Source organism: Homo sapiens, chromosome 4, assembly GCF_000001405.40.
Source record: "Homo sapiens chromosome 4, GRCh38.p14 Primary Assembly".
Taxonomy (NCBI): domain Eukaryota; kingdom Metazoa; phylum Chordata; class Mammalia; order Primates; family Hominidae; genus Homo; species Homo sapiens.
Window position 1 is genome coordinate 106,226,497 of NC_000004.12, and position 15,964 is coordinate 106,242,460.

Below are 15,964 nucleotides of genomic sequence, written 5' to 3' on the forward strand. Positions count from 1 at the left end.
AAGTATAGAAATTTAGCCCAACACTGTATATTAATTGGGCTTTTATATTTGGAAAGTTCAGTAAACACTACAATTTCATGTTAGCTTTGAAACTAACAGCATTATATTGCTGACATATTTAGCTGATGATTATTAAATTTCTTTTTATACGGCACAAATACTAACCTGCTTATTTTTTACTTTTAATCTTCTCAGTGTCTTTGGTCACCATTTGACAGATTATTTAAATTGCATAGTTTCTGAAATCTTGTGATATTACCCAAGGTTTTATTAAATCCACTCATTTTTCTATTAACTGAAATCTGAAAGAGTACACTATCAATTCTATAATAAACATCACTGATAAGGGTAAGAAGGAAGCTATTAGTAAGAATGGGGCACATCCCTCTTAATAAGGTACAGGACACAACCTTATGGAACATTACTTCATAAATTTTGAAGAAGGTATAACATGGTCCTTGAAGTCAATGACCTTATTAAGGTAATCTATAAGCAAAAAACAACTTCCACTACAAAATGCACTCCTCCTTAATTAGAAAAAGTCAAAGCAAAAAGCTGTACCTTCTAAAAATCTTTCTTGAATTAATCTCAACTTTATACAAGTCCACACTGTAGAAAATGTGCAAAGAATTGGACACATCTATGTCAAACCAAACCATTTCAAAATACAAAAGCCAATGGATTTTGCGTTTCAAAATTAACATAGAGATAATGGATCATTATTTCCATTTCTAACTCCTATCTACACTGTAGACACAGATATATAGGAATGAACACATGATTCAATTTGCTTGTAAACACAAAATTTTTAAAAAGTTTTAATTATTTTTCTCTATACCTCAAGGTACATGATGCTGAAAAAACAAATGTTTTTATGTGCTAAGCTATTTATCCATATTCTGTTCCTCCTACTTTTAGCTTTACTTTTTTGAGTTTACATTTTCCTTTCTGCTTCCTTTCTAATTATTTTCCCATTATATCAACCTCTGATACTCTAATTTTATATTCATTTCTAACCAAGTAAAATTATTACTAATTGAGATCCCACTTACTCAGAATTTTTGATGAATCAGATACAACATCTAGTATTCCTACTTCACTTATGAAAACTGGAGAATTACATAAAACCATAATGATATATATAATACAGAATCAGGTTCAAGTTGTTTAAAATAACGTAGGAAGAATTATATATAGTTAAAAACAAGATCAAAAGGATATCTGATAAGCATCACAAAAACAGTAAATGGGAGAGTGAGCAGCTTTGTAGTCTGCTCTAAAAGAACAGAAAAACTATAAGAAAATTCCCTGGCCTTAAAATACACAGAATCTTGTTGAAAGGATATAAAACAGTATAAAATGTCACAATAATAACACTAGCAAAAACTAGTACTTACAGTAACAGTAACATTAAGAAATAAATAATAGCACTTATTGAATATTTCTATGTACCAGAAATTTACATATTATGTTTAACCTCTACAATATTTTTATTGTAGATATGAGAAAAATGTTACCTACACAACTTAAATAATAAGTAGTGAAACTTAAATTTTAAACACTTTTCTGTTTTAAAAGTGTGGGTTTTCTTGTTTTGTTTTCAATTTCTGTGGGTACATAGAACATGCATATATTTATGGGGTAAATGAGATACATTGATATAGACATGCAATGCATAATCTCATTCAGGGAAAATGAGGTATCCATCACCTCAAGTATTTTTCTTTTGTGTTAAAAACAATCCAATTATATACTTACTTATTTTAAAATGTACAATTAAATTATTATTAACTGTAGTCACCCTGTTGTGCTAGCAAATACAAGGTCTTATTTATTCTTTCGGTTATTTTTTTTTTTTTACCCATTCACAATGTGTATCCTCCAACTCCTACCCTCCACTACCCTTCCCAGCCTGTGGTAACCATCATTCTACTCTCTATCTCCATGAGTTCAAATGTTTTGATTTTCAGATCCCACCAATAAGTGAGAACATGTGAAGCCTGTCTTTTTGTGCCTGGCTTATTTCATTTAACATAATAACCTCCAGTTCCAACCATGTTGTTGAAAATGACGGGATCCCATTTTTTCTTATGGCTGAATAGTACTCCATTGTGTATTAAGTGCCACATTTTCTTTACCCACTTGTCTGTTGATGGACACTTAGGTTGCTTCCAAATCTTGGCTATCATGAATGGTGCTGCAATAAACATGGGAGTGCAGATATCTCTCTGACACTCATTTCCTTTCTTTTGGGTATATACCTAGCAGTAGGATTGCTGGATCATATGGTAGGTTTACTTTCAGTTTATTGAAGAACCTCTAAACTGTTCTCCATAGTGGTTATACTAACTTACATTACCACCAACAGTGCATGAGGGTTCCTTTTTCTCTACATCCTCACCAGCATTTGTTATTGCCTATCTTTTGGGTAAAAGCCATTTTAAGCAGAGTGACACGATATCTCATTGTAGTTTTGACTTGAATTTCTCTGATCATCAATGATGTTGAGCACCTTTTCAGAAGCCTGTTTGCCATGTGTATGTCTTCTTTTGAGAAATGTGTAATCAAATCTTTTGCCCTTTTTAAAATCAGATTATTAGATTTTTTTTCTATAGAGTTATCTGAGCTTCCTATATATTCTGGCTGTTAATCTCTTATCAGGTGGGTAGTTTTCAAACATTTTCTCCCATTCTGTGAGTTGTCTCCTAACTTTGTTGATTGTCTCCTTTGCTGTTCAGAAGGTTTTTAACTTGATGTGATCTCATTTGTCCATTTTTGCTTTGTTTGCCTCTGCTTATGGGGTATTACTCGACATCTTTGCCTGGACCAACGTCCTGGAGAGCTTCCCCAGTGTTTTCTTATAGTAGTTTCATAATTTGAGGTCTTAGATTTAAGACTTTAAACCATTTTGATTTGATTTTTGTGTATGTTGACAGATAGAGGTCTAGTTTCATTCTTCTGCATATGAAGATCTAATTTCCTCAGAACTATTTGTTGAAGAGACTTTAAGAACAGTGAATGTTCTTGACACCTTTGTTGAAAATGTGTTCATTGTAAGTGTATAGATTTGCTTCTGGGTTCTCTATTCTGTTCTATTGGTCTATGTGTCTGTTTTTATGCCAGTACCATTTTGTTTCAGTTACTATAGCTCTGTAGTATAATTTGAAGTCAGATAATGTGATTCCTCCAGTTTTGTTCTTTTTGCTCAGGACAGCTTTGGCTATTCTGGGTCTTTTGTGGGTCCATATAAATTTTAGGATTTTTTTTTCTATCTAAATCTGCGTATTTTTAACTTCTATTCTATTACTTCCAAAAAAGAGTTCAGGAAATTATAGTACAAGTTTGAATGTGGCTAAAGTTGTCCTGAATGAATTCACAAACAGGTTACGCTATGACATGAACTCTTAAGGAGGAGGTATATTTTAGGGAAGTTGAAGAAAGAGGGAGTATATTTTGGGTATGCATGCATGGGAAATGAGATAAATGTAAAGTATTTTTAATACTCTGCTTACACAATTAAACATTTAAACTTTTTACTAATTTACAATGGACTTGCCCATGGTGAAGCTTTTTGTGAGCAATTTTGATTGTGAAAAACACAAACGGCAGTCTCTTATTTTCTCAAACTCGCATGCCTGCAATTGAACTGAAATGAGATCAGATATCAAATATCCATTAGAAAAATACCATAATTCTTTGTGGATTTGGAGGAAAGACTGAACTTTCTAATTTCTCTTTATGGATTTTATTGGATGGACCATCATCGTATTTTTGGGGTCAAAATCTTAAATTTAATCAAATATTACATCAGCACACCAGTACATCAGTAGTTTCTCTGTAGAAAGACATGGAAGACATTTGCTTACCTTGTATTACATGTGAGTTGTCTTTTAAGAAGAAGTTATACAGGTATTTGGGAATAAAAGCAGACATACATGCATAAGCCAAGGCTAAAAGAGAATAAGGCAAAGGCATGTAAAAAATTAGTTAACAGGGTAGATGACCATCAGTAATGCATTCACTTAGCACATATTCCTTGAAACTACTATTAAATAACAGTTATGATAGCCAAGTGCTAGAAAAACAAAATTAAGAGATAAAAGCCTCTATGCTTTAAAATAGAAAATATTTTTATTTTAGACAACAAAAAATAATAATTCTATAACTTCAATTTCAAACTAGCATGGCAATCATTATCACACAATAATCACAACTTTTATTACCTAAACGTTGTTTCTTAAAATTTCTAAGCATGATCATTATTAGTAAGTTATACGGACCTCACGATCCTTAACTGCTGCTGATGCAAACAAGAGTCTACGAACTATGGATTTAGGAATAGTGTTATAATTCACATTTTCAAACACAGACCCCTGACTATGTTTGGGTCAGTATGAGTGATCATTGGCTATGCCTAACTAAACATAGTAAAAAACTCTAGTCTAGATTAATGAGTGAGAATATCACAGAACAGAGTATTTTAAAAACAATTCAAAGAGTAAAATTTCATTTCTCTGGGATTATGCTATTTTTACTTAATTCCAGAAACCGATGCAAATTCGGTCATGAAATAGAATCTGAAAATAGGGAGATCTTCAGATAAGGCATCTAGACATTCAAGCTATATACAGTAACACACTCTATATGTGATTTCAGGGATTGGAGTTAATCGAATTTAGTATTTATTGAAAAGCCTACAATAATAAAGTTATTGCAGAAGGGCAGGAAAAAAAAAACCTGCCATTGAAAAAGGGCTGTCAAAAAATATTACAACATTAGTATATAAGTATTAGAATACAAGATAGACACAAGATAAATTTTTATAAATACAAAGTGCTTTATGGGCTGAAGAAGGAGAATGAGAAAAGTCTTCATTAAGGAAGAGGTATCCAAAATGATAGGCTTTGGAGATGCAAGGTTATGGAAAAGTGCCACCATAATTGATTTCTTTACAAATTCTTTAGAAAGTATACTTAGACAAAAATTAATCTCTAAAGAATTTAGAATAATCAAATTCCACTAAATTTCTAGTAATAGCTTTAGCATAACTGAAACTCTCCAGTAATAAATTAATCCTTCACATCTCTAAAATGAGTCTATAATAGATTATTTCACAGAAATCTACCAGGGAGAGAATAAGAGCCTTAAAACAAAAACAAAAACCTTTCATGTGTGAATCAAATATTTTAGAATATTATGCGCAATGATTATTTAAATGTTAAAGAGGCTTACCTTCATTATTGAAGTTTAGATATAGGAATGGAGCACAAAGTGAGTCAAGACCTAACACAGAGGGGTTGGGAGAAAGAAGTCAAATAAATATAATCTAGTAGAATTGAAGATATATACCTTATTCAATTCTTTGCATTACCTCCAAGTAGATTAAACATTAGAAGTATTATCCATCCAGAAATATGTTACTTCATGAGTTACTGTGGGGAGTGAGTGATAGTGTAGCACACAGTATGTGTCCAATATGAATCAGTTATTATTATCTATATTATTATGAGTTGAAAAGAGAAATACAATAATAGAAAAATGTAAGAATGTTACAATGCTTTGGATATTGTCCCATCTCTGACTCTAAATGTACAATCTTGGCAATTACTTAACATCTTCTGGCATACTTTCTCATCTAGGACATGGAGTTTTGCCTATGTTGTTTTTCTTTGGGATTATGAAAAAAAATTCTTTAAAAATTGTGAAGTGGATTCCAAATATATGACATTTCTTTTATTGATAATAATGATATGCATGTATTGTCATGTTGAAAGAATGTACATAAATCTACCTACAACTGTTAGGAGGATATAGAATAGCTCTGAAATACACAGAGCTAAGAAAAATAACAGCTTTATTTAAACTATGGTAAGAAATAGAGAACTGAAATATAAAAGTAGCCACTTATAACAACACATTCAAAAATAGGGTTGGAATGGGTTTCTCATTCTTTATCAAACACAAAAAATAATAATGGCAAAGCTAAAAATAAAAGATATGAACCATTAAAGATACAAGAAAAAAAAGACAATAAATAAAATGAGGACTTTAGGATGATAGACTATTTTTAAGTGCTAATAGCCATGGTAAGTATAAATTAGAAATCATTAACTATAAGAATCTCAACTAGCCCCAATTGATTTAACAATTTGCATAGGCGTTTAAAAAATGTATCCACAAAGATCACAACAGCTCCAAATATTCTTTCTGCTTTGCTAATCAACTTGTATATTAAATATTATGTTTTTTAATGATATCTACTAGGATTTAGACAAAGATTTTTAAAAATGTTTGGATGTAAACCTCTCAAAAAATGAATCAGAGCGTCAATATTGACTTTCCCCAAAGACAAGGATGTTTAGATATTTTAATTTTTTTAAATGTCAGTTATGCAACAATTTTCTAATACTCCAGAGGAGTTTTAATGACTACAAAAGTTACCTTGCCAATACACAAGATCAGGATGAGACACTACCCAGGCTTTTAATACACGCCTAAATTTTGCATGACCTTCTGGTGATGATAACAGTTCATCGTACTGATGACAGCGAGGAATATCCACTTCAATCTGTTAAAATAGCAAAATAATAAGGTGAAACAGTAATTGTGTAATCAGCAATAAACCCTTAATCCTTGTTCATTAAATAAGGAAAAGGAGAAGCTATAATATGAATTTCAAAACAGACCAACTTCTTAAGTGCCTAATTTTTTGAATTTTTTAATTGATCTTATGGAAAGACTAAAGAAGTTGTATGTATACCTAAACAGGAGAATTAGACCATTTCTTTTGAAAGGTATGTATGTGTTAATATACTTTTCAAAAATATTTTCCTTTATAATCTGGTCCAAATGAAGGGCAAATTTTTCAGATGAAGAACTACAGTATTTTTAAAAAGGTAACTTGACCTAAAGTCCTTTAAGGTATTGTTCTTACTAATTTATAAGCATAAGAGTTATGGTTTCTCTAACAATATATGTATGCAGCAGTGTCTCTGTATTCATGAGAGAAAGAGGCTTTCTTCATGCTCCTTCCTAAAATTTAAATATTTGGCAGAATTATCTTAGGTTGCTTAAGAAAACCTAAATCATACTTGTCTATCTGTAGGAATTGGAGTGTCTTTATCAATTGCATCGTACTTGGCATGAATAGCTCCCTGCAAAAAATAAAAGAAGATATATTAATTTATCATATCCTTAATACAAATAGTAATATAGAGAAATCTATTTTTTACAAATATCTATCTTTGGAAACCTACCCAACTACAGATAAGCACATTCAAACTCAGGGTAGAACTCATCTTAAGAGAAATTCTCTGTGTCTTTGACAATCTGTGATGAAGGTCTCTGATAAGTGACAATTTGCCATTTTGCTGAGGCAAACTCTTGAATTATACATACCAGAACATAAATGTCATGGATTAATTACTTAGCTAGTAAGTATGTTTGGCCAACCTCCCAGACCCTACAACATAACACAACCTTGTTATGTTATATCTATAATTACATGATAGAATCATTAGGGCCTAAAGAGGTCATTTACGCTTTTCAGTTAGACTGTTAAAATTTAGAAATAACTGAATGAACGACTACAAATTTTGGTCGTGTTCTATAGGACCAAGCATGAAAAAAATATTATTATTCTGGCTTATTATCATGGTAGAGAAAGAGCCAGGAAGTAGGGTTCAAACTCCAATATCGGCTATTATCAACTTCTTTGAGACATTAATTTAATGAGAGTTGGACAACCTGATACCTGAAGTCCTCTTGAACTTTAGCATTATATTGTTCTACAAGTCTAATGATTAATGTATGATATTGAACAATTGGCATTCTTGTAAAGTAACCAACTAAACTCAAAGGTATTTGTAGACTCTTATCAAGGGAATCAGGAATGAAGAAAGGAAATTCTTCAAACAGAGGATTGAAAAGGATTAAAAATAGTTGAGGATTTCTAAAAATTTTTTAGAGTCAGGGTCTAGTTCTATCACCCAGGCTAGAGTGCAGTGGCACAACCAAGGTTCACTGCAGCCTCGAACTCCTGGGCTCAAGTAATCCTTCTGCCTCAGCTTTCCAAGAAGCTGGGACCACAGGCATGTGCCACCATTCCAGACTGGAATTCTTTAAAAAGGAAGGATAATTATCTATAAGAGAATATAAGAAGACAAGATGACAAAGAAATTGACAAGAAATGAAAAAAATCTGGCAAGAATTTGGCCCATTATTATGATTGATGTCATCGGAGTTCTCTGTTAGTATTGCAGGCCACCATAATTTGTGACACATCTTTCCTCACAACCACAGAGAAAGTGCTATTTCTCTTGGTAGCATAGTCCAGGTGGAATAGGTGTGCCAAAAGTCACTAAATTATGTTAGTGATTTTGACAAGTCAGATTAGATGGAAAGATTTCTCCAAATTTAGACAGAACCATTTATAAACAATCATATTCTATAACAAGCATACTTTATAAGCAGGACTACCCATTTATAACTGATATATATTCTTAAAATATTCTATGGTAATAATCAAAACATTTTCTGTGACCACTATTAAATGAAACATTAAATAGCATAATCTAATAAACCCTCCATTATATTTTTCTATTCTATTGTTTTCCTATATTCTTTCCACTTAAAATTGCCAAATATTCTAATGCTTATATTTTACTATATAATTTTCTAATAACTAGAAAAATATATATTTGGAAAGCACTCTCCTTCTCCATCCTTTCTTTGCATAATTAATCAGCTTCTAACCTTTTCTTTTTTCCTTACCTCAACTCCCAGAAGAGCAGCCCAGGTTAAACCTCTCATAAGAGGAGGAATGTCAACTCTTGCTTCTTTCCAGATTTGGTTTTTTTTATATGGATAAGCCTATGATATCAAAAAAGAAATGAAAACGTCTCAAATTACCTAGTGCCATCTTTTAGTCTAGACAGTTCTGAATATACCCATGATAAAACTTAAGTGACTTGCAATAAATTTCAAAGTATGTGCAATTATTGTGTCTGGTGTTATTAATACACATAAATAAGCAGTAGAATGAATGAATCCCTAACACCTTGAAAAACTCGTATTATATAATTAAGAAGAGCAGCTGATTCTACCTGATTTTTAATCCTTCCTCTCTATTTGATGCTCTGGGGGGATTTTAAATGAGTCAGATGGAGGATAATAGTACCAGTCTCATACGGGTTAAATAAGATAATGCAGGTAAAGCACTCTGTTAAAAACGTGGTGATAGAGAAGTGATCAATAACTATAAGCTACTATTATGAGTACTTCCGCATTTTGCATATAAATTTATACTTTTATAAATTTGTGTCTTAGGAGAAATTTCTAGAAGAGTATTAATAGGACAAAGGCAACAGATGTTGTTAAGGTTCTTGATATATGCATTCAAATTGTTTTACAAAATGTTTCAGTACATTCACATTTATTCCAACAGAATGAGAGTTCCAATATCATTGCATCTGTGCTCACTTTGCTAATGCAGTATGGAAAATCACTCCTATTTTAATTTGTATTTTTTTCATTCCCAGTGAAGATGAACAATTTGCATAGATTTACTAGCTGTATTTATATTATGTACTCTATCCATTTCTCTGTTTCAATATTGATGTTTTTCCTGTTGACTTTTAAGTCTTCTTTTAAAAAATAAAGACATTATTCCTTTTTTAACATGATTTTGCATATGTTACCACACCTTGTTTTTACTTTTTAATTTTACTTACTAAGAACATGTATCATTTTTAAAATGAAAGAAAGCTAACTGAACAAGATAGGTCATAAAAATTAATCTTCTTATTACTCAAGATTCCCTAAGAATTATTGAAAAAATTAAAAAAAAATTCCATATGGGCTATTGTTAACACTTTATACTTTAGAATCCATACCTTTAGCAGCCTGTCGAAGAGAATAATTCTATTTAGTTGGTACTCTGTATCCTTCTCTCTGATGATTAAAGGGAGCGTGGCAGCTGCAGACAACTCATTATTGCTGTTTGAATGAGGTAAATTAGACTGGCTGTAAAAGAGAACAAAAGCAATAAAAAAAAAAAATGGACAAAAGGTACAAAATTTTCTTTTTTTTTCCTAACTCTACCAACAGTGATTTCAGAAAAAGCACAAAATTTTAATAAACCAAAACCTCAGGTTATTATTTTCTATTTAGGAAACATTTTTCAAAGAAAATGTATAAAATTCTTATAAATCTAATATAAATAGAAAGAAAAATAAATCTAAAATGAGACTACATATACTCACTCATCTTCAAGTAATGGGTAAAATGCTTCTCCACCAACATCTTTCAATCTCTGTGTATTTAAAGACAAAATATTTATGTATAAACATATTGGGCAGAAACCCTGATCTGTGTTTAAAAAGACAAGTAATATAACAACTATAAATTTATAAAGGGACCTAGAAAAGTATAAAATAGAGTCTAAAAATCAGTTCTTACCATAAACATGCAAGCATACAATGCCTCTACTGATTACGGTTTGGCTGTGAAAAACAACTATTTTTTTCTTATCTATAGGTATCACTCATAAATGTTAGACACTTATCATGATATATTTTCCAAACAGAACTCAGAATTACTAGCACTAGTATAAAACTTAATGAATGGGAAAAAAATTTTAAGTTATATGAAGAAAGATGATTAAAAAGAGGTACTATATAGCCATGTATATACTAAAAGAACAACTTAGATTTATTTTTGCTTTGGCATAATACAAGCTAAGTCAAAAAGAAAGGTGCTAGAAAAAGGATTCCAAAATATTTCTCACATCATACTTTGAACATGTATGATTCAAATAGCTAATAAATCAATGGAGAGAGTTCACTTAATGACAAAATCATTTTAATAAATGTTGTTCCAAATAACAACCCTGACAGGATTACAGGTATTCTTCAAAATCATAAGCAGGAAGGCAGTAGTAAAGTAAAATGTTAACCACATCCTAAGCAAGGTGATTAAAGTTAATGCCATCTTGCCTGCTGCTCTGCTGTTCAACTTCCAACTTGAAGGCAGAATGTCTGCTCCTATGGGGATTGACATAGAAATTCAAGCTGTGTGTGCAGCAAGCACTGATCTTCTGCTGATTAGAGTCTTTGTGCACCCATGTGAGTTATTCCCAGAATTTTTAAAGCTTAAGAAAAATCTTTTACTCAAACTAAGAATTCAGCAAACACTGAATTTATGCCTGGTTCTACTCTAAAAATCAATGTGCTATGTACTTATCCTATTTTAAAAAACCTTTAGGTATATCTTTCATATATTAAAATTTTAAGTTAGGAAATAAAATTTTCCCAAGTTTTACTGCATTATTAATACACATAAATCTTTTTAAAGATTAGTTTTCAGTATACTGTATGTCATAGATTTTATCTAATTAAGTATCTTGTCTGTCTTTTCTAAATAAAAACTTAGCACATTAGGATTTTTAAAAGGTGAATGAAAACACTAAAGATAAAAATTATTATATGGTTTCCATATCATTTTAAGATTCAGCAAATTAATATTTCTTAATAACTACAGAAGAAGAGTATTTTAAATTTCACAAGTAGAACTGTAAAGGAATTGAGACATTTAGATTTGAAGCCTACATTCATTTAACTTGGATTATATTTAAATTGAAGAAACAAATTAAGAGCAAAACAAAATCAGCTGAAATCATATATTTTGGATGTAATTTATTGTTCGCTGCAGGGTATTATTACTTATTTTGTTACTTTCCACATCCTTTCTTTCAAAGAGATTATAAATTCAGAGTACTGAGTAGGAATAGTTATATATTTTAATTTTCTGTTGCTGGCATTATGGCAGACAAGAGATTCTAATACTCTCCTACTATATAACATGTAAAATATTAAATGGTTAGATAAGCTTTAAAACATAAGGAAAATGCAGTGATAACAGATATAAAACCAGGCCTAGAGAGAAAGTAGTTAATAACTGTGGTCTAGAGATTTAGACCATAATGGGATAAGGGTTTGGGAACCTACATAACAGACCTTCAGAATGGAGAAGACCCTTCTAAAGCCACGTAAAGAAAAAACTAGGGGAATTGCTGGCTTAGACAGAAAACAAGGATAGGTACCTATTTCAGCTTTGGCTATGAATGGTTAAAAATAAAAAGGCTAGGACTTCCACTTTCTTATACAAAATATAAACAGCTTAGAAGGCATCATTCTTCCTCTAACAAGAAAAATGCTGAACAAACTGAAAATCAAGAACTCGTCTCACATCTGTCAGAATCAGAGCATTGTGATGTCCTCAAAGCTGGAGGGACCCTCGAATACAGGGAATCACAGCTCAACAGGAACAGAGCCACTGCTGGAGTCTGTTAAGATCAATTAAAAGGTAATTATCTAATACTTGCAGGCTGAGCACAGACTAATACGAGAGAGAAAAACTTCTGGAGGCCCTGCCTTAGGGAGGCCTTCCTTGCTTCCATGAGATTAACCTCTGCAGGTCCCACCAGGTTCTCAGGGTGAAGATCTGAGAAAAATACCCTTGACTTCCTGCAGGGGGAGGTGGAAAGTAACCAATCTGAAATACAGCCAGAGTACTCTGTTTTCCTTGAGAGGCCTGTCTTAAAGGGAAACTCTTCGGTCAGGTCTTAACTAACTTGGGTTTTACAGAAATCTAACCAACTTGGGAAGGAAATATTCAACTCCAGTCCACTCTAGTCTTTGATGTAGGGGAACAGAAATACCCAACTCCAGCCCCTCTAGCTTTCCTGTCTCATGTTGGGGAGGAGGAGTGGGAGAAGCTGAGAAGCCTTGTGAAGGTCACAGCCCAGGAACACAGGCTCACTAAAAAACTGGGACTTAATGATAAGATTATAAAATACTTCTCCCCTATACTTTACTATGATATTAATAGGGCTTCTACATAATAACAGGATTCATTCCTTCATTTAGTTATTATATAGGAAGAAAACATATAACACATCAAATGAAGAGAAGTACAATGGAGGAAAAAAACAAAACAGGATAAAGAATACAAGGGATAGGTGTGGCGTTGCTATTTTATAAAGGATGGCCAACAAAAGCCCACCAATAGGTGACATTTTAGCAGAGAATGTAAAGAAAAGAAATGGAAGCACCGGAAGAGTGTTACAGGCAGTGGGAAGAGCAAGTTTAAAGGCCTTAAAACATATAACTTTAGAAAATGATTTAAAAACAAAATAAACAACCTGAGTAAACTTATAACCATTAAGCAGACTGAAGTAATGATTACACCCAAATAGGGATAAGGAGCCCTTACAATATGGTTTTAAAGCTAACTCCCATGAAACATTCAAGAAATAGATACATGTAATCATATAAAGTCTTTCAGAAAATAGAAAAAAAAAGGCAACACTCTCCTATTTATTTTATGAGACTAGTATACCCCTGATACCAAACTAGCATCGTGCAGTAAAAGAAAAGAAACTCACAGGCCTATCTCAAATAGAAACAGAAATGCAAAAATTCTAAACAAAATATTAGAAAATCAAAACACAAATGTATAAAAAAGGAAAAATGAAATCATGATCTGTTTGGGTTTATCCCAGAAATACAAACATGGCTCAACATTGAAAAACCCCATCAACATAATTAAATCCATTAACATAATACATAAAAAAGCATATGACCATCCCAATAGATACAGTAAAAACACTCAGTGAAATTCAACACCCATTCATAACAAAACTTATAACTAAGAATAGAAGACCTCTATAACTCAATGCAACAAATATCATACTTAATTATGAAATATAAAAAGCAAACTTTTAAAACCAGAAATTAGACAGGAGTGCCCACTATTTGTTTCTATTCAATAGCGTTATAGACGCTCAGCAAAAATAATGAGAAAAGATGAAGTGAGTAGATAAGAATTTGGAAATGAAGGAAAAAACCCTACCTTAATTCACAAAGAAAACCACAGGGAATCTATAGACATATTATTTAAAAAAGAATAGGTTCAGCAATGTTGCCTGACACAAAATCCACATAAAAAAATCAATTGTGTTACTAATCATGCACAAAACAGTAGTTGAAATAGTATTTTAAAAAATATTATTGATTTATTTTTTAAAATCCTCTACTGGTATACTTAAGATTTGGTACATTTTACTACATGAAAAAATATTATTGATGTATATTTTAAACTCATCTACTGGTATACTTAAGATCTATACATTTTACTATATGAAAATTTTGCCTAGAAAAGAACTATAAACAAATCTTAAACTCTAATGTGTAAGCTGAATTGTAGTAATGTCTTCATTTTACTTTGAAATGCAAGAACAAAAAATATGATGGATTGATGAATAGCTAGAAAGATAGACATGTGATAAAGCATGTAAAATGTTAATTATAGAATCTAGGTCAGGGATTAGCAAACTGTTTCTATGCAGGGCCATATGACAAATATTTTTAGCTTTGTGGGCCATGCAGTCTCTATCGCAACTACTCAATTCTGCCAATGCAGAACAAAACAGCTATACATAATAGGTCAATGAATAGGTGTGACTTGATTTTGCTAATAGATCATATCAATGCTTGATGTAGGTGGTAAGTTGTTCACTGTAAATGCTTTTCAACTTTTCTGTTTAAAAATTTTTATAATAAAATGTTGGAAAAAATCATACTCATACTTACATATATATATATATTCTATATACAAGAGCAATAATAAATTACCTTAGAAATAAATCTGATAACTGATATACAGACATTAAAAATAAAATTGTTATATAAAATAAGACAAATAAATGACATATTTATTTAAGCATGTTCAAGAAATAAAACCCTACATTTTAAATACATCAATTCTCTACAAATTAACTTATCAATTCAATGCAATGTCAATCAAAACCCTATAATTTTTTATGAAGTTCTTTATGATGATTATAAAAATCAGCTAGTAGAGGAAGATGTTAAAGAGTTCCTACTCCATTTTGAGGACAAAAAAACTGAAGGTCTTCCCTTGCTAGATATCAACAGTTCACATAAAACTACAGATTAAGGCAATGTGGTATTTGCTAAAATTAGAAAAACAGGCCAACAAATCAGAATATCAAGGCCCAGAAACATATCCATATACATAGAAAAAGTTGGTATTATAGATCAAAAAAGTGAAGAGAAAACTATTCAATATATGGTACTGAGACAAGGGGTATTTTTTTAATCAATGAAATATGATATTGGATACCTTCCTTACAACTTAATCTAAAATAAATTCTAGGTGGATTAAAGAACTAAATGTGAAACAATTATTTAAATCTTTTATAAGGAAATATATAAAAACATTATAAAACATACTTATAACCTTGCTATTACTTTAAATAAGTTACAAGAAAAAATATATCAAAATATATTTGACTATAAAAGAAAATACTGATAAAAATTTAGAATTCTATTCAATAAAAGAATCAAAAAGTTGAAGGAAAAGCCACAGATTAGAATATATTTCCATGACATACAGCTCACAAAGATACGATATCAGGGACATAGTTTCAAAAGTCCTCAAATCAATAAGAAATCACTCAACAGAAAAACTGACAAGAGATATGAACTAGTAATACATAGAAGAGGTAGGTGAACTGCTAGAATATGTGAAAAGACTTACAACTGCACTATAATCAGGAAATTAAAAATTAGTATTACAGCAAAATACCTTTCCATACCATTAGATTAACAATTTTTTAAAATGTGATAAAAGAAAGTGTTACCAGGTAAATAAAGAAATGAGAACAGTTACCCAATGATGGCGAAAAGATAAACTGATAAAATCATTTTTGTGAACAATCAGGTAATAAAGCTGAAGTTGTACAGATGCAATTCTACTCTGGGGCACATATTTTACAGAAGCTCTCCCATATTTTGTGAAATCAAAGAGGCATACAAGATTTCTTGTGTATCTGTAAGGTTTTAATTAAAGAAAAAAACCTAAAGCAGAACTGTCAAAATAT

General features: G+C 31.2%; 1 protein-coding gene across 22 annotated transcripts in view; it reads right to left on the bottom strand.

The window, feature by feature from the left end:
- TBCK (TBC1 domain containing kinase) overlaps nt 1–15,964 on the bottom strand; it is a 275,085-nt gene that overhangs the window by 184,898 nt on the left and 74,223 nt on the right. For all 22 annotated transcript variants that reach the window (XR_001741353.3, XR_007057984.1, XR_007057982.1 and 19 more), the window contains 7 exons: nt 10,263–10,312; nt 9,894–10,023; nt 8,773–8,871; nt 7,092–7,154; nt 6,442–6,568; nt 5,233–5,283; nt 3,867–3,950 (listed from right to left, as the gene is read on the bottom strand). Coding sequence is in view for 17 of the 22 variants with exons in the window: in NM_001163436.4 (NP_001156908.2) it covers nt 3,867–3,950; nt 5,233–5,283; nt 6,442–6,568; nt 7,092–7,154; nt 8,773–8,871; nt 9,894–10,023; nt 10,263–10,312 (604 nt within the window). In the remaining 5 variants the exon portion in view is untranslated. The remainder of the gene's footprint in view (nt 1–3,866; nt 3,951–5,232; nt 5,284–6,441; nt 6,569–7,091; nt 7,155–8,772; nt 8,872–9,893; nt 10,024–10,262; nt 10,313–15,964) is intronic.